Source organism: Homo sapiens, chromosome 1 (assembly GCF_000001405.40).
Source record: "Homo sapiens chromosome 1, GRCh38.p14 Primary Assembly".
NCBI lineage: Eukaryota > Metazoa > Chordata > Mammalia > Primates > Hominidae > Homo > Homo sapiens.
The window spans coordinates 6,603,349-6,624,216 of NC_000001.11; the positions used below are offsets into that span (position 1 = coordinate 6,603,349).

At 51.6% G+C, this 20,868-nt stretch overlaps 1 protein-coding gene and 1 long non-coding RNA gene across 3 annotated transcripts, besides 8 other annotated features; one reads left to right on the forward strand and one right to left on the reverse strand.

The window, feature by feature from the left end:
• Positions 17 to 106: an enhancer, noted in NCBI's record as "active region_86". NCBI's record gives its function as "activates an Ori minimal core promoter by ATAC-STARR-seq in GM12878 lymphoblastoid cells {active_cell/tissue: GM12878}" and the evidence as "EXISTENCE:reporter gene assay evidence [ECO:0000049][PMID:35858748]".
• Positions 99 to 10,039, reverse strand: LOC107984913 (uncharacterized). The gene is made up of 2 exons (XR_001737882.3): positions 9,344 to 10,039; positions 99 to 1,299 (listed from the first exon to the last, which is right to left on the reverse strand). It is a non-coding gene; the product is annotated as an uncharacterized LOC107984913 (long non-coding RNA).
• Positions 127 to 286: an enhancer, noted in NCBI's record as "active region_87". NCBI's record gives its function as "activates an Ori minimal core promoter by ATAC-STARR-seq in GM12878 lymphoblastoid cells {active_cell/tissue: GM12878}" and the evidence as "EXISTENCE:reporter gene assay evidence [ECO:0000049][PMID:35858748]".
• Positions 327 to 476: an enhancer, noted in NCBI's record as "active region_88". NCBI's record gives its function as "activates an Ori minimal core promoter by ATAC-STARR-seq in GM12878 lymphoblastoid cells {active_cell/tissue: GM12878}" and the evidence as "EXISTENCE:reporter gene assay evidence [ECO:0000049][PMID:35858748]".
• Positions 891 to 1,239: a silencer, noted in NCBI's record as "fragment chr1:6664299-6664647 (GRCh37/hg19 assembly coordinates)". NCBI's record gives its function as "represses an EF-1alpha promoter that drives an FKBP-Casp9 reporter gene in an ReSE screen in phorbol 12-myristate 13-acetate-treated (for megakaryocytic differentiation) K562 erythroleukemia cells {active_cell/tissue: K562(+PMA)}" and the evidence as "EXISTENCE:reporter gene assay evidence [ECO:0000049][PMID:32094911]".
• Positions 9,832 to 9,881: a silencer, noted in NCBI's record as "silent region_167". NCBI's record gives its function as "represses an Ori minimal core promoter by ATAC-STARR-seq in GM12878 lymphoblastoid cells {active_cell/tissue: GM12878}" and the evidence as "EXISTENCE:reporter gene assay evidence [ECO:0000049][PMID:35858748]".
• Positions 9,932 to 10,711: a silencer, noted in NCBI's record as "silent region_168". NCBI's record gives its function as "represses an Ori minimal core promoter by ATAC-STARR-seq in GM12878 lymphoblastoid cells {active_cell/tissue: GM12878}" and the evidence as "EXISTENCE:reporter gene assay evidence [ECO:0000049][PMID:35858748]".
• PHF13 (PHD finger protein 13) lies at positions 10,383 to 20,682 on the forward strand. Of its 2 annotated transcripts, none has more exons than NM_153812.3 (4): positions 10,383 to 10,757; positions 13,409 to 13,510; positions 16,455 to 16,989; positions 18,063 to 20,682. In NM_153812.3, the coding sequence occupies exons 1-4, from the start codon at positions 10,719 to 10,721 to the stop codon at positions 18,287 to 18,289; spliced, it is 903 nt and encodes a 300-aa protein (NP_722519.2). In that variant the 5' UTR covers positions 10,383 to 10,718; the 3' UTR covers positions 18,290 to 20,682. The 2 variants fall into 2 exon arrangements, with proteins under 2 accessions (NP_722519.2, XP_011539064.1); XM_011540762.2 differs by lacking the exon at positions 10,383 to 10,757 and adding an exon at positions 11,982 to 12,475.
• Positions 10,882 to 10,971: a silencer, noted in NCBI's record as "silent region_169". NCBI's record gives its function as "represses an Ori minimal core promoter by ATAC-STARR-seq in GM12878 lymphoblastoid cells {active_cell/tissue: GM12878}" and the evidence as "EXISTENCE:reporter gene assay evidence [ECO:0000049][PMID:35858748]".
• Positions 11,112 to 11,571: a silencer, noted in NCBI's record as "silent region_170". NCBI's record gives its function as "represses an Ori minimal core promoter by ATAC-STARR-seq in GM12878 lymphoblastoid cells {active_cell/tissue: GM12878}" and the evidence as "EXISTENCE:reporter gene assay evidence [ECO:0000049][PMID:35858748]".
• Positions 20,683 to 20,868: the final 186 nt, after the last annotated feature.

The following is a 20,868-nucleotide window of genomic DNA, read 5'->3' on the forward strand; positions in this document are numbered from 1 at the left end:
TCCACTAGTTTCAAGGGTTGCTAGTTAACCCCATCACGGGACACACTCAAAGGATAGGCTTTTTACCATTCTGGACCAAAGCAAGAACGCGTATAAAGTTTTTCGGTGACGTTTTTTTCTTGGCGCATTTATAAGCGACCCGGGGCCGGATTCCAGGAGTCGGCCCCACTCCTGTGTTCCTGAAGGAGCTTCTGACTCAATCACACAGGCGTTAACTTTAGTCGGCTTCACGCGCAGTTGTAGTTTCCGAGTCTGCGTCGCAGCTGCAGGCTCCGGGGCTGCCCGCCCTAGGGGCTCCCGGGCCTCCCTGAAGCAGCTGCTCGGACTCCACGAGAGGGTAACTGGGTATAAAGAGCGAGGGCTCAAAGTCAGATAGGAGACCGCCTTGAAACTAGATGACGCCACTAAGCACAGTCCCGCCGTCACTTGTACTGCGGTGGGGAATGGTGAAAGAAGGAATCGCCCTTATTTTAGTTCCGATAGACACAGCACCACTTTGAATGTCACTTGTAGGGGAAAAAGAGCCCTCCCTTGGAGGCCATTTTTTCCTCAGTGGAAGGTAGGCTTTGCTCAGTTTTAGAAAAGACCCCTATTTCACCACCAGGACTGCTGCTTTGCAGAGAACACTTGGGTTTGTGCTGTTTTCCAGCCCCCCTACACCGGTGGGCCTTTGAGAACGCATTCCTGAGGAAGGCGCCCGCCCACGTGGGTCCCAGAGCAGGCCACGCGCATGGGAGCTGGCTATCATTTCCTGGTTCCAGCGAGGTCTAGGGCCGCGTAGCGTTTCCAGAAGACATTTTGTTTTTATTCCACCTCTGAAATGAGAACCGCAGGCTTTCTCTTCTACTTAAGAGTTTCACGTCATTTTGCCATAAGAATGCATCTGGTCTGAATTTCAGGGTGAGCATGGGCAGCACAGGCCCAAATCAGAAAACATTCAGGTACCCAGGCGGGCCGCCTGTTGCCCATAGAAGGACTGTTCACACAGCTATTCAAGGCAGCGGCAGCATTCCTGGGCCCAGGAGCAGGGCCAATAGCTTCCTTGCACAGGCTTTGTGACAAGAAAGGCTGAGTAGCCAGGAAGTGGAATGTTTGTAGGGAAAAGAACTCCCGTCCCCTGGGTCAGCTTACCCATCTTGCGTAAGTCCAGTGATTAAATCAATAATGTTTCCATAGTTGAGGATTGAGTACGGTTTTTCTGTATTCCCAATAACAGGGATTTTTAAACATCATATTTCAGTCTTACTATGTAGCCTTGAAGAATAATGATGTATTTATTGAAATGGAAAGATGTTTGAGCTATAAAGCGAAAAATCAGATTACTCATTGTATGACCCAAATTGATTTATATGTATTCATATGCCTAAAAAAATTTATTAAGTTAACATTTTCGGCCAGGCGCCGTGGCTCACGCCTGTAATCCCAGCACTTTGGGAGGCCGAGGTGGGTGGATCACCTGAGGTAGCGAGTTCGAGACCAGCCTGGCCAATATGGCGAAACCCTGTCTCTACTAAAAATAAAACAATTATAATTAGCTGGGTGCTGTGGCGCACGCCTGTAATCCCAGCTACGCGGAGGCTGAGGCTGGGGCAAGATTTCTTGAGGCCAGGAGTTTGAGACCAGCCTGGGCAACATAGTGGGACCCAATATTTTGTCTCAACAAAAAGTTTTCAAATTGGCCAGGCGTGGTGGCATGCACCTTTAGTCTCAGCTACTTGGGAGGCTGAAGTGGGAAGATCACATAAGCCCAGATGACAGTGAGCTGTCATTGTTCCACTGCTCCCACTCTGCCTGCCCCACCCCTGAAAAAAAGAAAGAGCTAAATAGCATGCCTGGGTTAGTAGGTTATTCAAAATTCCTAACACAGCTGATAGGTCTAAATCGGTTCCTTTCTTTTCTCACCACATTCCTTTGTTGAATTATCTATATATATACATGGTTTCACATGCCTGGTAGGCCCCGGTTATCAATGAAATACTTCTTTTCTCAAGATATGAATTCTTAATTTTACTTTGAACTTAAATTAACATTAACAGATAATGTACGTGTAGTACAGAAAGAGAATGCAGGCAAGCAAAAACAAAATGAACATAACCACCTAGATGACATGTTGTTTGTTTTTTGAGACGGAGTCTCACTCTGTAGTGCACTGGCACGATCTGAGCTCACTGCAACCTCTGCCTCCAGGTTCAAACACTTCAAGCTTGAACCCGGGAGGAGGAGGTTACAATGAGCTGAGATCACGCTACTGCACTCCAGCCTGGGCGACAGAGTGAGACTTCATCTCAAAAAAAAAAAAATTAAAATTACAAAAATGGCCATTGCCTAAGCAATTTAAGATAATGTGATTTACCTGAACATTCTGAGGCTACAAATTAAAAAGTGATTTAATGTGTGATGTGATTTAACAAATAGTTATTATTTTAAAAAACAACTTAATTTTGGTATTTAAATTCTAATTTAAGGCAGACAGAGCAAGAGGTGACTAAAATTACGTTACCTTTTTTTTCTTGAGACAGAGTCTCGCTGTGTCACCCAGGCTGCAGTGCAGTGGCGCGATCTCGGCTCACCGCAACCTCTGCCTCCCGGGTTAAAGCAATTCTCCTGCCTCAGCCTTCCTGAGTGGCTGGGATTACAGGCATGCACCACCACTCTTGGCTAATTTTGTATTTTTAGTAAAGATGGGGTTTCTCCATGTTGGTCAGGCTGGTCTCAAACTCCTGACCTCAGATGATCCACCCGCCTCGGCCTCCCAAAGTGCTGGGATTACAGGCATGAGCCACCTGGTCTGGCCATGTTACCTTTTTTATTGAGACAGGATCTCCCTCTGTTGCCCAGGCTGGAGTGCAGTGGCACAATCTCAGCTAACTGCAACCTCTGCCTCCCAGGCTCAGGTGATCCTCCTACCTCAGCCTCCCCAGGAGCTGGGACTACAGGCGTGAGCCAACACGCTTGGTTAATTTTTTAAATTTTTTGTAGAGACGGGGTTTCGCTGTGTTACCCAGGTTGGTCTTAAACTCCTGGACTCAAGCAATCCTCCAGTCTTGGTGCTGAGCCAAAGTGCTGAGATTACAGGCATCAGCCACCATGCCAGACCCTAAGGTCATTTTAAAAGTGGCTGTTTACAGCCTGGCCAACGTGGTGAAACTCCATCTCTACTAAAAATACAAAAATTAGCCAAGCGCGGTGGTGCACATCTATAATCCCAGCTACTCCAGAGGCTGAGGCAGGAGAATCGCTTTAACCCAGGAGGCGGAGGTCACAATGAGCTGAGATCATGGGACTCAAGCATGGAGGACAGAGCAAGACTCCGTCTCAAAAAAAAAAAAAAAAGAGCAGCTGTTATTCTTTTTTTTTCTTTAAGAATATTTAGGAACACACTCCTTAGCCTTGATTACGTCCACAGCTATTGTGCCTTTTCTTGTATCATATCATACACTCTGATTTTTTCAGATTCCAGGTTTTCTAAGGTATAATGCACTTACCATATATAACTCCTTTTTTTTTTTCTTTTGAGACGAAGTCTCCCTGTGTCGCCTAGGTTGGAGTACAGTGGCGCAACCTCAGCTCACTGCAACCTCCGCCTCCTGAGTTCCAGTGATTCTCCTGCCTCAGCCTCTCGAGTAGCTAGGATCACAGGCACGCACCACAACACCTGGCTAATTTTTCTATTTTTTGTAGAGATGGCATTTCACCATGTTGGCCAGGCTGGTCTTGAACTCCTGACCTCAGGTGATCTGCCTACCTCAGCTTCCGCTGGGATTACAGGCATGAGCCATTGTGCCCAATCTAAACATTTTTTCTTTAAGGAATGTTGCGCTATTCTCTATTTATTAAATGCATTTACATATGTAAATGAGATAGGGTAAGTAAAAACATTTAAACAGTGTTTGACATATAGTATTAGTTATTATCTTTTTTTTTTGAAACAGAGTCTTGCTCTATTCCCCAGACTGGAGTGCAGTAGCATGATCTCGGCTCACTGCAACCTCCACCTCCCGTGTTCAAGCCATTCTCCTGCCTCAGGAGAGTAGGTGGGATTACAGGCACCTGTCACCATGCCTGGCTAATTTTTGTATTTTTTTGGTAGAGATGTGGTTTTGCCATGTTGGCCACGCTAGTCTCCAACTCCTGACCTCAAATGATCCATCTCCCTTGGCCTCCCAGTGTTCTGTGATTACAGGCGTGAGCCACAGCACCCCAGCCTTTAGCTATTAACTTTCTTTTTTCTTTTTTGGAGACAGAGTCTTGCTCTGTTGCCCAGGCTGGAGTGCAGTGGCGCAATTTCGGCTCACCACAACCTCTGCCTCCCAGGTTCAAGCGATTCTTCTACCTCAGCCTCCCAAGTAGCTGGGACTACAGGTGTGCGCCACCATGCCCAGCTAATTTTTATATTTAGTAGAGACGATGTGTCACTGTGTTGGCAAGGCTGGTCTCTAACTCCTGACCTCGTGATCCACCTGCCTCGACCTCCCAAAGTGCTGGGGTTACAGGTGTAAGCCACCATGTCCAGCTTAGCTATTACCTTTGTATTCTACCAGTATGAACTCAAGAAACTCATTTGATTCTTCTATCTGTAGGTCAGATTCACTGTGTGAAACACTGACAATATATGGTCTATAAATTATTAATGATTTCAAATGATTCACACACATATTCATACAGTTTTCAAGTTACTAAAAGCTGAAAAGAAGATTTTGTGGAATTTTCACTTTTTTCCCATCTCCTGGAAACGGAAGTGAGCAAGGCAGAAAACAGAGGGTAAAAAGAATTCCTAAGAATATACTGGGCTGGGCGTGGTGGCTCATGCCCATAATCCCAGCACTCTGGGAGGCCGAGGTGGGGAGATCGTTTGAGACCAGGAGTTCAAGATCAGCCTGGGCCATGTGGTGAAATCCCTTCTCTACAAAAAATACAAAAACAACCAGCACTTTGGGAGGCCGAGGAGGGCAGATCACGAGGTCAGGAGATCAAGACCATCCTGGCTAACGCAGTGAAACCCCATCTTTCTAAAAAAATAAAAAATTAGCCGGGCGTGGTGGCGGGCGCCTGTGGTCCCAGCTAGTCGGGAGGCTGAGGCAGGACAATGGCATGAACCCAGAAGGCGGAGCTTGCAGTGAGCCGAGATCGTGCCACTGCACTCCAGCCTGGGCGACACAGCAAGACTCCGCCTCAAAAAAACAAAAAACAAAAACAAAAAACAAAATAAGCTGGATATGCTGGTGCATGCCTGTAGTCCCAGCTACTAGGAAGGCTGAGGCAGGGGGATCACCTGAGCCCAGGAGGCCTAGGGTGCAGTGACTATAGTGAGCCGTGTTCGAACCACTGCACTCCGGGCTAAAAAAAAAAAAAAAAAAAAAGGCTGGGCGCAGTGGCTCAGGCCTGTAATCCCAGCACTTTGGGAGGCCGAGGCAGTCAGATCACCTGAGGTCAGGAGTTTGAGACTAGCCTGGCCAACATGGTGAAACTCTGTCTCTACTAAAAATATAAAAAATTAGGCTGGGTGCCGTGGCTCACACCTGTAATCCCAGCACTTTGGGAGGCCAAAATGGGCAGATCACAAGGTCAGAAGATGGAGACCATCTTGGCCAACATGGTGAAACCCTGTCTCTACTAAAATACAAAAAATTAGTTGGGCGTGGTGGCGTGCGCCTCTAGTCCCAGCTACTCGGGAGGCTGAGACAGCGGAATTGATTGAACGGGGGTGGCAGAGGTTGCAGTGAGCCGAGATCACCCTACTGCACTCCAGCCTGGCGACAGAGCAAGACTCCGTCTCAAAAAAAAAAAAAAAATTAAAAAATAAATAAATAAATAAATAAAAAATAAATAAATAAAAATTTACCGGGCGCGGTGGCACGCGCCTGTAATCCCAGCTACTTGGGAGGCTGAGGCAGGAGAATCTCTAGAACCCGGGAAGCAGAGGTTTCAGTGAGCCCAGATCGCGCCACTGCACTCAAGCCTGGGTGACAGAGCAAGACTCCGTCTCAGAAAAACAAAAACAAAAACTATTAAGCTGAACAAAAAGCTGAAACATTTGAAAAGCAAACCTTTGGTTATGCTCACACCTGCACTAAAGCACAGAGCTAAAATGGGAGACAGAAAGCTTTCTTGTATGTTCCCTCAAGTGGATGCAGTGTAGCTGCTGAGATTTAGGAAGGTGAAGCTATATTTGGTAACTCAATTAAAATAACCACATTCTCAAGTTACTTACCGGGAAACCATGGTATTCTTAGTATTTTTAACTTGTTGCAACCTGTGCTAACGTTGGCTTTTTTCCTCCTCTCCTAAGTAACTATAATCATCTGAGAATTAGTATTCAGCAGTTGGTATAATTAGTTTGTTTTTTGTTTTTAGCAGAAAACAAAGAATCATAGACTCCAAGGATCTGGCTACTGTGGTGAATGTTCTTGAACTAATCAAGGAATTTCAGATTCGCCCCCTGCAGCCCAGGAGTAGTACAATACACCTATGAAAAAAACGGGAGATACTGAACAAACCTAATCCTGTCACAGAAAATCAACTGTGTTTTTTGAGACGGAGTCTGACTCTGTCGCCAGGCTGCAGTGCAGTGGCATGATCTCCGCTCACTGCAACCTCTGCCTTCCGGGTTCACGCCATTCTCCTGCCTCAGCCTCCGGAGTAGCTGGGACTACAGATGCGTGCCACCACACCCAGATAATTTTTGTATTTTTAGTACAGACAGGGTTTCAACATGTTGGACAGGATGGTCTTGATCTCTTGACCTCGTGATTCGCCCGCCTCGGCCTCCCAAAGTGCTGGGATTACAGGCGTGAGAAAATCAACTTTATTACTCCACAGCTACATATTATGAGATCGTTTGGGTCAACTACAAGTGGTATAGTCCTTTTTCTGAATTTAGGGAAAGGATGCTAAACATTAATGTCTAAATTTCCTCCAAAGGGCTGTATTTCTAAGGGAAATGGAAAGACAAAAGAGGTCCTTTTTCTTGAAGTTTTCTCTTTCACTGGAGTAGCAGGAAGGTACAGGTCATATCTATGTACTAAAAATTACTGTTTACTAAAAACATATTCAATAAATATCTGGGTGCGGTGGCTTATGCCTGTAATCCCAGCACTTTGGGAGGCTGAGACAGGCAGATCACATGAGGCCAAGAGTTCAAGACCAGCCTGTCCAACATGGTGAAACCCCGTCTCTACTAAAAATACAAAAAATTAGCCGGGTGTTGTGGCGCATGCCTGTAATCCCAGCTCTCAGGAGGCTGAGGCAGGAGAATCGCTTGAACCCGGGAGATAGAGGTTGTGGTGAACCAGGATCACACCACTGTACTCCAGCAGGGGCAACAAGAGTGAAACTGTCTCAAAAAAGAAAGAAGAATAAACTCTCAAATTGGAAATGAAGGACCTACTCAGAATAATGGACTTGTTGACAAAACTGAGCTTAGAATTCACAGGCCTATATTGGACTACTTGGTTACATCAAGGAAGGAAAATCCCAAACATGGATTGAGTCAGGGGACAGATTTTCAGACTCAAGTGATAACTTTTGCTCAGAGTGGGTATTCACTCCAGGCAGGCAAGATAGCTCAGGACTGTAAACTCTACAATTTGGGAGGCCTGGGTGGGAGGATCCCTTGAGCCCAGGAGTTCCAGAACAGCCTTGGCAACATACGGAGACCCTGTCTTAAAAAAAAAAAAATTAGGCCTGGCATGGTGGCTCACGCCTGTTAATCCCAGCACTTTGGGGGAGGCTGAGGCGGGTGGCCATTCTTTCTTTTTTTGAGATGGAGTTTCGCTCTTGTTGCCCAGGCTGGAGTGCAATGGCGTGATCTCGGCTCACTGCAACCTCCACCTCCCTGACCCATGTCGGTCAGGCTGGTCTCGAACTCCTGACCTCAGGTGATCTGCCTGCCTCGGCCTCCCAAAGTGCTAGGATTACAGGTGTGAGCCACCGTGCCTGGCCCGATAATTTCTTAATATGTGTGTGTGTGGGAAAGGATTTAATGTTTATTATGTGACACATTTACCACAGGGGATAATAATGAGGTGTAAAAAAAAAAATCCCTCTTCTTTCACTTGGGTTTCACCTCTAATAATTATTCTTGGCCAGGCGCGGTGGCTCACGCCTGTAATCCCTGCACTTTGGGAGGCCTAGGTGTGCGGATCACGAGGTCAAGAGATCAAGACCATCTGGCCAACATGGTGAAACCCTGTCTGTACTAAAAATACAAAAACTAGCTGGGCGTGGTGGTGGGCGCTGGTAGTCCAGGCTACTTGGGAGGCTGAGGCAGGAGAATCGCTTGAACCCGGGAGGTGGAGGTTGCAGTGAGCTGAGATGGCGCCACTGTACTCCAGCCTGGCGACAGAGGGAGATTCTGTCTCCAAAAAAAAAAAGAATTATTCTTTTTGGTATTTACATTTTTAAACTACCAACGGGATCAACACCTTAGCAGTGTTTCTTATTCTGGCAAAACGAGTTGCTCCTTGTGAATATGACCTTGGGCAATACAGGCTAACTTCGGGGCATCTGCTTTGGTCACAGTAACCAGGTAACATTCCAAATCTGGCTAAATCATCTGTGCAATTGTATAAGAAGTTGTTAATCAAGTCTCGATGGGCCAAGTCCAATGTCTCTGTTTTAATCAGTAATTTCATGTTTTATCTTGTAAAGTACCTCAATTTATCACCTTTGGGAAGCCCTCCAATGGGCTACAATATTGCAGAAATAATAAAACAACAACAACAACAACAACAGTAAGCTACCATTTATTTAGCCAGGCACTACGCTAAAATTTAACAGCTTAGGAAACTGAGGCTCAGAGAAGTATTTTTTTTTTTTTTTTTGAGACAGAGTCTCGCTCTGTCGCCCAGGCTGGAGTGCAGTGGCACGATCTCGGCTCACTGCAAGCTCCGCCTCCCGGGTTCAAGCAATTCTCCCGCCTCAGCCTCCCGAGTAGCTGGGATTACAGGTGTCCGCCACCACGCCCATCTAATTTTTGTATTTTTAGTAAAGACGGGGTTTCACCATGTTGGTCAGGCTGGTTTCGAACTCCTGACCTCGTGATCCACCCGCCTCGGCCTCCCAAAGTGCTGGGAATACAGGCGCGAGCCACCGCGCCCGGCCGCTCAGAGAAGTATTTCTAAGATTAACACCATCTCCTAACTATTAAATATCTTCATCAGAATGATCATAACCCTTGAAATAGCAACAGCCAGCTTGATGGAGCATTCGGCGCCTGTCAAATATCTTACTAGTATCTCCAAGAGTTCGTTTTCTAATTTGAATTTTCAATTTTGTGTCACTCCCCTTTAACTTCTTCGAAGCTACCAAACAGGTTACTGAATCATCTGCGTTTTGTACTTACCTTTTTCCCCCACTTTCGAATATTAAAAATGTTCCCGTCAGACCGCCTTTTGGTCACCGCATAGGGGCAGTCCCCACCGTGTCCGGCCAGCCTTCCACACGTACAGCTGTCGGATACTCTGCGGTCCAGCGTTTACACACTGCCCATCCCAGTTAAACACCACTAAACAAGTACCAGTCGATGCCAGCGCCAAACACCGCGTCTCCGCCTCGCCCTGCGGGCCGGAGGATATTCAGGAGAGTGGGAAAACGGCCGGTCCCAAGGTTAGGCTTAGGCGGCAACAGAAAGCAAACTGAACGCACACCTCTTTAGAACACTGACAACGCTGGCCCGGTGTTTTTAATGCACGAACCCGGCCACCTCGAGTGAATCCCGCAGATGCCTAGAGAAGAGCCCGGTCCAGTCCCGGCCCCGCGGGCCCGGAGCAGGGAGCCGCACGAAGCCCGCAGCCGCGAAAACAACTTCGCTGAGCCCGGCCTGGAGCGGGGGCCGGGCGGCGACTCCGCCCTCAGCGGGGAGCGGGGAGCGGGGAGCGATGCCCGGGGCGGCCGCGACGTCAGCGTCCCCGCCCCTGCCGCCCCTACTCCCGGCCAGGCCTCGGGGACCCCCGCCCCACAAAGGGGCGCGAACCCCAAGTAGGAGACGAGGAAGGGTAGGTGCCAGCCGCCGCCGCCCTTCGCAACCCGGGCCGTCAGCCCCGCCCCCACCGCCGCAGCGACTCCCGCCCCCGCGCCCGCCGAGACCAAGGCGCTACCGCTCACACTGCCCCTCCCCCCGCGGCCGAGCCGGCGCGGGCCCCCGCACCTCCCCCGCTCGCGCGGCCTCGAGTCCAGAAGACCCGCCTCCACACACCGGGGCCGCCGCCGCGGAGCCTCATGGGGGTTGGAGTCCCCAAGGTTTCCTTTGTGCGCAGTATTGGCGGGGCCTTGGACTACCACTCCCACAAGGCACCGCGCCCGCCTCCCGCGCCACGCCCCCTCGCCGCTGGCTTCCAGTCGCCACCCAGACTACATTTCCCGACAGGCCTCCCGGCTCTCCCGCCCTCCCTCCCGAGACACGAGCCGAACTGGGCGTCAGGTCGGGGAGCCGGTCGGGTTCCCGCTCACCGCCGCCGCCGCCGCCCCCTGCAGCCACTCTCCCGCCTCTACCGCCGCGGGAGCTGCATCGTCCACTCCGGTCGGCGGTGGAACCGCCAGTCCGGGGTCACAGAGCTTGAGAAGCGACGCGCTGAGCCCCCCATCACCTCCAGCCCGGGCGACCCCTCCCGGGTCCGCCCTCGCCCTGCGCAGCCGCCCGAGCCCCCAGCCCCGGGCGGCCCCGCTCCAGCATCCCAGCTCCTGCACTCTCGCAGCCGCCGCCGCCCCCCGCCCGGAACATGGACTCTGACTCTTGCGCCGCCGCCTTCCACCCGGAGGTGAGTGAAGCTGTGCGTCCGAATCGCCCCCGACCACCCCCTCCGCGATCCTGCCGTCCTCAGGCAGCCAGACCCCCGGTCGCCCGGAGCGCCGCCCTCCCCTTCCCCCGCTTTCCCCTCGTCGGCCCCCCCGGGAGCCCAACCCCCGCCCCCTGCTCGGGCCCGCGCTCGGTCCTCTCCGCCGGGCCTCGCCTCCGCGTCCCCTCCGCGGACCTCCGCGTCCTCCCCGCGCCCTTTCCCCAGGGCCGTTGCGCCTATTTCTCTCCCCCGGGCCGCCCCTCTCCGGCCTCGCGTCGACCTGGGACCTGTCGGCGCCCCCAGCCCCTCCCCGCCGGCCTGCTTACTCTTTCCCCGCCCCCGGGGACGCGGTCCGAGCCGCCGCCCGCCCCTGGCTCCGGTTGCTCTCGAGGAGTTTTAGGCCCCCCTCGGACCGGGGTCGGCTCCCGAGGCCCCCGGCTGCTCCCCCGATCCCCCGGGCCCGGTGGCCCGCGCCCCGCCCCCTGACTCCGCGCGGGGCCCAGTCGGCCCCCGCCCCCTACGGCTCTCGGGGGCCGCGTCCTCCGGGGGCCCCACCCGCTCTGGGGACCCGAGTCCTGCCCCCACCCACCGCCCCCCGGCGCGCTGGCCTCTCTCTTCGGGCCCCCGCCCCCCGCCCGCGGGCTTTGCTGGCTCCGCCCCGGCTCACTCCCCCTCCTTCCGGGGATCGGCCCTCGGGGCTCCCGGCCTCCCCCCCGCGCGGTCCCCTCCCCCCAGCCGAGGCTCGTTGGGGTCGGGGGTGCGGGTCCGGCGACCGCGGGCGGGTGGGGGAGGGGAGGCGGCGCCGGAGCCCGCCGGTCTCGCTGCCGCCCCCGGGGGTTCGCAGGGCCTCCCCAGGCCTGGGACCCCGGAATCCTGCCTGGCGCACCCCCCTCACACATACTCGCGGGATGGGCCCCGCACCTTCGGGGGCCGAGTGTCGCGGGGGGCGGCTGCCGCGGGAGGGCGGGTGGGGGCCGCTCCGCCATCTGCTTTCCGAGGAGGCGGCCGGGGGGGCGGGCGGCGTGGGCCGTGTGGGGGCGGCGTGGAACCCCCAGTCCCCGCGCCGGTGCCTCCCGCGCGCCCCCGGCCCGAGGCCGTCGCCGCCCTCCACTTGGCATTCGGGTTTTTGACCCACTTCTGCTGGTTCCCCGCCGAAAGAAAAGTTCTTCGCGGGAGTTGGAGGCCCGGGTGGCGGCCCGCGGTTCCCGTGGCTGGGCAGGCTCGCCAGTGCGGGGAGCGCGGTCAACGCGGGCCTTCGCCTCCGCTCCGTGGGCGGCCCTGGGGTCCAAGGGGGTGGGAGAGGAGAAGGTTTGCTTGAACCAGGTTGAGAAAATAATTTTCTAAGGGCACCGACTTTCTCGAAAGAAAACCCGCGGGCCGCACGCCTGCTCCTCGCGGCGGGAGGGGCGGCCCGAGACCCCTGCCCCCCATTTCCCCACCGGCTCTCCCCCAGCAGAGTGGCGGCCGGGTAACAGCACCTCGGGAAGGATGGGGGTGGGTCGGACAAGGCACTGAAAGGAACCTCAGGGAACGTGCCGGGCGAATAAACAGCAATACGGCACACTTGTTTTGCTTAGGAGCAAATAAGAGCTCCATCTCTCCGTGCTTCTCTCAGGAGAAAATATCTTTTTGTGATGGGTGTTTCTAGATGGAATGGGGCTGGGACCCGCGAGCAAAAACCTCCACTATTCCGTTTAAATGTAAGACTAAGCTTCGCAGTAAGGTTCTTGGTTTATTGTGAGTTGAGATAGTTGGGTGCCTGGCATCCCGACTGGCTGGGACAGTGGAGGGGACCCTCTGAGCACGAGAGAGGGGTCCTCAGGTGGCGCTAGCTTGGCAGGGTCAGCCAGGAGTGAACTCCAGGGTCCAGGTCTCCGAGAGCTCTGGAGAATGAGTGGTTGATTTTTTTTTTTTTTTTTTTTTGAGTTGGAATCTTAGCTCTGTCTACCGGGCTGGAGTGCAGTGGCGCGATCTTGGCTCACTGTAACCTCCGCCTCCGGGTTCACGCGATTCTCCTGCCTCAGCCTCCTGAGTAGTTGGGACTACAGGTGCACGCCACCACGCCCGGCTAATTTTTGTATTTTTAGTAGAGACGGGGTTTCACCATGTTGGTCAGGCTGGTCTCGAACTCCTGACCTCGTGATCCGCCCGCCTCGGCCTCCCAAAGTGCTGGGATTACAGACGAGAGCCACCGCGCCCGGCGAGTGGTTGATTTTTGAAATCACTTAACATACATCAGTTCCAGCTGCTGCTGCAGCAGTTCATACTCAGAATGGAAAATCTGTAGCAAAAAAGTAGTTATTAGAGCTTCGCCTGATAGGCCTGTGGAAACTAATAGATAAAGTCAGAAAATGCCACATGAGCACTAAGAAATAGACTTTTGTAGAAGTTTTTATCTCCCAGCTGATTTCCCAGCATTCTTGGCATAAAGTCTTAATACTCCTCTTTCTGCTCTCTGAAAATAGTGTTATTTCTTGACCTGAACTTACCGTATCTTGTTTGTGGACTGTGTAAATCTAACGGTATTTTTTGAGTGATTGACTACAAAAGTTCCAGCTTACTTCCTTTTGTTTCTGTGATTCCGCCTGGAAGCCTCTCCTTCAAACACATTCCCTTTTCTCTCCCCTTAATAGGAATACTCCCCCAGTTGCAAGAGGCGCAGGACCGTGGAAGACTTCAACAAATTCTGCACCTTTGTCTTGGCCTATGCTGGCTACATCCCTTATCCGAAGGAGGTAATCTTCTGAGTTTCTGAGACCTTTCTTGATGAGTAGTCAAACCCAGTGCCTCCACCGCAAGTTCGTGGGCTTCTGACTGGTCAGAGGGTCAGTAGGTTTGGAAGGGGCTGCTTGTGGTGACCCCAGTCACTAGTCTGGCAGAAATCTGTTTCTTGAGAGTTTGAATTAGCTGGGGAAATGGTTCTAAAACTCTGGTAAAAACTCTGGTAGAAAATGCAGGCTTGTCTAGAAAATGATTTAGTAAACTTTCTTTTTTTTTGGAATGGAAACTTGCTCTGTCGCCCAGGCTGGAGTGCAGTGTCGTAAAACTCCACCCCCGGGTTCAAGGGATTCTCCTGCCTCAACCTCCTCAGTAGTTGGGATGACAGGCGTGCGCCACCACGCTAATTCTTTTTTGTATTTTTGGTAGAGACAGGGTTTTACCTTGTTGGCCAGACTGGTCTCGAACTCCTGACCTCAGGTGATTCACCTGCCTCGGCCTCCCAGAGTGCTGGGATTACAGGCGTGAGCTACCGCCCAGCCGATTTAGTAAACTTTCAGTTTATTTACAAATAAAATATGTGATATTTGCTTGCTCTTTTTGTTTGTTTGTTTGAAATGGAGTCTGGCTCTGTCGCCCAGGCTGGAGTGCCGTGGTGCAATTGTGGCTCACTGCAACCTCTGCCTCCTGGGTTCAAGCGATTCTCCTGTCTCAGCCTCATGAGTAGCTGGGCGCGCCACCACACCCAGCTAGTTTTTTGTATTTTTACTAGAGACGGGGTTTCACCGTGTTGTCGAGGCTGGTCTCGAACTCCTGACCTCATGATCCACCCGCCTCGGCCTCCCAAAAGTGCTGGGATTACAAGCGTTGAGCCACTGCACCTGGCTGTCTGCTTGCTTTTAATAAGGGTCTGTAGTTACTGACTGTTGACCATAGCTGGACACTATTCTTGGCCTATGTAATGCTATGAGGTAGGTGCTATTTTTTATCTCCAGTTTATAAGCTGAGGAAACTAAGGCATAGAGAGGGAAAACTTTGTCTTAGGTCACCCACTGATTAGTGGTGGAGCTTGGGGTTCAACCAGATGGCTGGACTCAGTGCACACGCTGCCTCTGTCTCAGCTCCCTGGCTGCCCGAAATGCGTATGATTGTCTTCAGGGACTCATGGCTGCAACTTGATGTAGATGAAGGAGGTTTTTTCACTTGCTGAGAACAGGGCAGGACTGGAGGAGAGCGGCTGTGGTGCTCAGACTTCAGGCCTCTTTCGTATTCGATTAAGCTCAAAATTGAACAATCCAGCTTTTTTTTTTTTGCGACAGGTCTTGCTCTGTTGCCCAGGCTGGAGTGCAGTGGCACAGTCTTGGCTCACTGCAGCCTCTTTCTCCTGTGCTGAAGTGATCCTCCCACCTCAGCCTTCCAAGTAGCTGGGACTACAGGCCCACCACCACACCCACCTAATTTTTGTATTTTTAGTAGATACAAGGTTTCGCCATGTTGCCCAGGTTGGTGTCAAACTCCTGGCCTCAAGTGACCCACCTGCCTTGGCTTCCCAAAGTGCTAGGATTACAGGCGTGAGCCACTGCGTTTGGCCGTAATTTTATTTTTTGTAGAGACAAGGTCTCACTGTGTTGCTGAGGCTGGTCTCGAGGTAGTGATGCTCCTGCCTTGGTCTCCCAGAGTGCTGGGTTTACAGGCACGAGCCACTGTGCCCAGCTGCATTCAGTATATTTCTAGCAGGCAAACTGCCAGCATTGGTTTATTTCCATCTGCTACATAGGTGGCTAATGCCTGCTTTCTTTTCTTTCTTTTTTTCTTTTTTTGAGACGGAGTCTTGCTCTGTGGCTCAGGCTGGAGTGTGGTGGTGCGATCTCAGCTCACTGCAACTTCTGCCTCCTGGGTTCAAGCAATTCTCCCTGCTTCAGCCTCCCAAGTAGCTGGGATTACAGGTGTCAGCCATCATGCACAGCTAATTTTTTTGTATTTTTGGTAGAGAGGGGGTTTCACCATGTTGGCCAGGCTGGTGTCGAACTCCTGAGCTCAGGTGATCTACCCGCCTCAGCCTCCCAAAGTGCTGGGATTACAGGTGTGAGCCCCCGCACCCAGCCTAATGCCTGTTTTCTAGCAAGACAAGGAGGACGTTGCCACTGTTTGCAAATGATATGCTTGTGATCTGAATGAACCATAGAGTTTACTTCACTGCTTTGGGGCAGTAATTACCTACTTGGATTCTGCAATATTTTGGAATGTCTAGTTTTTTAAGAGTGTCAGGAAATTCTCAAAACTAATTTAAATTCACTTAAAACAATATATCTCTTGGGAGGGCAAATGGAAGGAGAGGTTTTACAATCAGGGAACAATGAGCAGATAGGAGTGGGTGTCCACAGCACTCCTTCCCACAGACACCTGTTGCACACTGATGAATTTTCTGTCTCTAAGATGGGGCTGAGGGTTCAGCAGGGAGTTTCTCTCTTCGTGGCATCACATTAAACTCATGGCACTGATGGCACTGGGTTTTTTTTTTTTTGAGACACAGAATCTCCCTCCCGTTACCAAGGCTGGAGTGCAGTGGCTCACTGCAACATTTGCCTCCCGGGTTCAAGCGATTCTCCTGCCTCAGCCTCCCAAGTAGCTGGGACTACAGGCACCACCACCACGCCCAGCTAATTTTTGTATTTTTAGTAGAGATGGGGTTTCACCATGTTGGCCAGGTTGGTCTTGAACTCCTGGTCTCAGGTGATCCGCCTGCCTTGGCGTCCCAGAGTGCTGGGATTACAGGTGTGAGCCACCACGCCCAGCCAGAACTCATGTTACTGTTGCTTCAAGTGTGATGCTGATGGGCAGAGAAGCTCAAAGTTGTGCAGATGTCTCTGGAGGTCTGACATGGCTGGGTGGCTGGGGATGCTCTGCTCTGGGCTGGATCTTGTCACCAGTAACTGGAATCTGCCACCTTTGTCTTTTTAGGAACTCCCTTTAAGGAGCAGCCCCAGCCCTGCTAACAGCACTGCTGGTACCATTGACAGCGACGGCTGGGACGCGGGTTTCTCAGACATCGCGTCCTCAGTGCCCTTGCCAGTCTCTGACCGCTGCTTTAGCCACCTGCAGCCTACTCTCTTGCAGCGAGCCAAGCCCAGTAACTTCCTGCTGGACAGAAAGAAAACGGACAAGCTGAAGAAGAAGAAGAAGAGGAAGCGCAGGGACAGTGATGCGCCTGGGAAAGAGGGGTACAGGGGGGGCTTGCTGAAGCTGGAAGCCGCTGACCCCTACGTGGAGACCCCCACGAGTCCCACCTTGCAGGATATCCCCCAGGCTCCCAGCGACCCCTGCTCGGGCTGGGACTCCGATACTCCCTCGAGTGGATCTTGTGCCACTGTGTCACCTGATCAGGTCAAAGAAATAAAAACTGAAGGCAAACGGACTATCGTCCGGCAGGGAAAGCAGGTGGTGTTCCGAGATGAGGACAGCACTGGCAATGATGAGGACATCATGGTGGACTCAGGTGAGTGGTCCCTGAAGGATGATGACCCTTGTTGGCTTGTGGTTAGAAGAGAGGTTATTTTATTAAGTGGTCATCTCTCTGGGGCACAGGGTCTGGTGCCTTCCGTAGAGTGTGACAGCCCCACTGTCCAAGGAGGAGAAAAGCTGCAGGAATGTGGATATCGAGATGTTTAGGAAGGGGTTGATTGCCACTAGAGACAGCTGAGATTCTAAGACCTTAGAACATAAAAAGGGTATAGTTCTAAGTAAGCATCCAGGTAAGCATCCAGGCCGGGCACGGTGGCTCCACCAGTAATCCCGGCACTTTGGGAGGCCAAGGCAGGTGGATTGCTTGAGCTCAGGAGTTGGAGACCAGCCTGGGCAGCATGGCAAAGCCCTGTCACTGCAAAAATACAAAAAAAGGCTGGGCGCAGTGGCTCATGCCTGTAATCCCAGCACTTTGGGAGGCCGAGGCAGGCAGATCACGAGGTCAGGAGTTCGAGACCAGCCTGACCAACATGGTGAAACCCCGACTCTACTAAAGATACAAAAAAAAAAAAGAAAAAATTAGCTGGGCGTGGTGGTGCGCGCCTGCAATTCCAGCTACTCAGGAGGCTGAGGTAGGAGAATTACTTAAACCCAGGAGGTGGAGGTTGCAGTGAGCCAAGATCGCGCCATTGCACTCCAGCCTGGGCGACAGCAAAACTCCGTCTCAAGAAAAAAAAAAAAAACAATAGTCGAGTGTGGTGGTGTGTGCCTGTAGTCCCAGCTATTTGGGAGGCTGAGGTGGGAGGATGGCTTGACTGCAGGAGTTTGAGGCTGCAGTGAGGTATGATTGCACCACTGCACTCCAGCCAGGGTGACAGAGTGAGACCCTGTCTTAGGGAAAAAAAAAAAAAAGTAAGCATCTCCTGGGTAATACCTGGTTCCCACACATTTTGGAGCCCCTCGTGCCTTTTCAGAGAGAAGTGTCAGCTTCGAGTGGCAGTTGGAAGTGTTCTCGTCAGTAGAGTTAATGGGTTTCATGGAAGCCCAGCTGATGGCGAGGAATGATGGGAATTTCTCTTCCCTCCTTGAGAGTATCTTTCCTTCCAGATGACGATTCCTGGGACCTCGTGACCTGCTTCTGCATGAAGCCATTTGCCGGCCGCCCCATGATCGAGTGTAATGAGTGCCACACCTGGATTCACCTGTCCTGTGCGAAAATCCGGAAATCCAATGTTCCAGAAGTGTTTGTCTGCCAAAAGTGCCGGGACTCCAAGTTTGACATCCGCCGTTCCAACCGCTCGCGGACGGGCTCCCGGAAGCTGTTCCTGGACTGACTGCTGGCTGGCGAGGAGGCTGCGAGCGTGGAATCGGAAGCGACCGCGGGCTTTTTTGCCCTTCTCTTAGTTGAGCACAGAACCCTCAGCTCTGGTGCGGGCAGATCCCTGCCATTTAGGTGCCTAAGCAAAAGGACAGGCTGTCCAAGGTAGAAACTGTACATAGCCGGTGACCGAATGCGACCTTTGCCAGCCAGAGCTGCTGCCAGAGCTGCGTTCCCTGCAGTGGAGGTGGACTGGACACCCACGTGCAGCGGGTTTGGCTCATTTGAAAATGAGGGTCCGTGGTAGCTGTGCGTTTTGCTATCATTGCTAAGAGATTCCCGCTGATTGGGCTCAGTGCCAGCTGTTATTCTGCTTCCACTGTGTTGGGGAGAGGTGTTCGGTTTCCCCAGCCTGTTAATGAACAGCCATACGTGTAAGCTTTTTCTTGAGTGTTAAGTCTTTTACCAAAAGTGTCTGTACAGCAGCCATCCAAGTTGCCCCTACTTAGTGGCTTGCCCTCTGCCTGCCTCAGCTGCTGCCTGACCGGCTGGGGGAGGCACTGGCGGGAGGCCTCGGGCTCCCCTGGAAGGGCGCTGGGCTGGCGGGTCAGCTGGTGGTTCTTAGGTTTCCTTCTGTTTGTTAAAAGGGACAATGTGGCCACTTCTCTGTGGAAAGGGAGTTGGTTGGGGGGTTGAGATGGCCCGTGTTCATAACTCAGTTTCCTGTTTTGCACGATGTAAAAACCCTGTCTTTTTGCACGATACAGCCAAAAGTATTGGCTGATTTCTTGCTGAGTGCCCTCTTAGTTGGTGTGTGAGGTCTTGGTGGGCTCAGGCCAGCTGTTTGCGAGTGTGGGAACTCATAGGTTCTGTCTTTGTCTCTTCCTTTCACCTCATTCTGGTAGCAGCATAAAGGTTAGGCAATCACTGGGACCCGCATGGTGTTCCTCCAAAGAATAGGGTAAAGGAGAGCTGGGAGGGAGCCCTCTCCGTTGGGTGACTCTTGTGTGCCCTTTAGACAGGCTGGCCTGCCGGTTCCACAGGGTACAGTTAGGACTTGAGTCTTTCTTTTTCTGTTTTGAGTTGGTGAGTGAGTGATAGGGTAACATGGGCCTTCAGGATGACCCCTTGGAACTGTGCCGAGTTCCTTAAATCTCAGCTGGGATCCTGGACCTGGGAGGCCCCTGTGAGGGCCAGCTCTGGAAAAACCTGGGAGTTGATGCCGGAGGCTGTGGAAGAACTCTGCTCGAGGGCAGGGTGCCCTGGAACACTGGTAGTTCTGGGGCTGGGAGGGAGAGGGGCTCCGGCTTTCTCTGAAATGAACACTGCTCTTCAGCAGTTCAAGTACTTGTTCTCAAAACATTTTCTAATTGATTGGTAGGTTTTCATAAGCATTGTTTCTTTAAGGCATGGAAAGGGAAGAATGCTCAAGCAAGTCATGTTTGTTTTCAGTGGGATGGGCCCGCGTTCTCACTGCTGGGGGCTTCCCCTTCATGTGGCACCTTTGTGCCAGGCCACCAGGCAGACTCTTCCCACCTTCTCCCACTGAAGCACCAAGGGGCTTGAACCGTAATTTGGCTAATCAGAGGCATTTTTTTTGTCCTAGTATCTTTCACACTTGTCCAACCGTCTTATTTTTTTAAAAGTTCTGTTGCTTGTATTAACACGAAACTAGAGAGAAATAGTTTCTGAAGCCAGTTTATTGTGAAGATCCCCAAGGGGGAGGTTCGGTAGAGAAAAATAGTAAGCTGGTTTAGAAACTGACGAGGGCAAACAGCCAGGACGCATTGGAGAGGAATTTGCCAAAGATCTACCCTGAGATAACGCCTGTCCAGTGTCTTCACCACGTGAATAACCAGCGCTCCAAAGTGTTTTTCTGCTTTGAAAAAAAAAAATTCCACAAGCTTTTAAAGGTGCATTTAAGAATCCATGTGACTTTAGAATGGAACTGCCGGCCCTGGCAACTGTCACGTGTGCTAGAAGGTTCGATGCCTCTGGAATGCATGTGATACTCATCTCCATTTTGTTTCCTTGATTGCATTTTTGTTCTTTTAGCAGATCTGTCCCTGTGGGTGGTGTCTAAGAAGTCGGACACCTTGGTTTTTGTGTTAGATTGAGCTGGGCAGCTGCAATCAGCTTCTTTATATGCAAATTAGGCACGACCCATCTGTGGTTCCTGGTTGGTGGCTAATGAAGTGAGGGGAGGGAGGGATGTCACCCCAAAAGTAGGCCCTCCCATTGGCTTTGGCCAGGCCAGACACTTCACATCGTTTACATGGTTCTGTGTAATTTTAAAGTTTATGTGTATAAAGCGAAGCTGTTTCTGTGAAACTGTATATTTTGTAAATAAATATATTGCTACTTTGAGGTTCATGATTCAAGGTTCAGGCGATTGCGTTCTGTGCTGAAGGACAATTGTGTTTCTTTTCTCCTTGCTACCTCCCCAAAGCATGATTACATCAAGTCTCTGGGAAGGCAGCGTCTCAGTGTGCACTTAGCAGGATGGAAAATGCCCACGGTGTTAAGGTACCTTGCTGGTGAATTCCTTAGAAACAAACCACAGGACGAGTAGATGTGAATGGTTTTTGCAGTTTC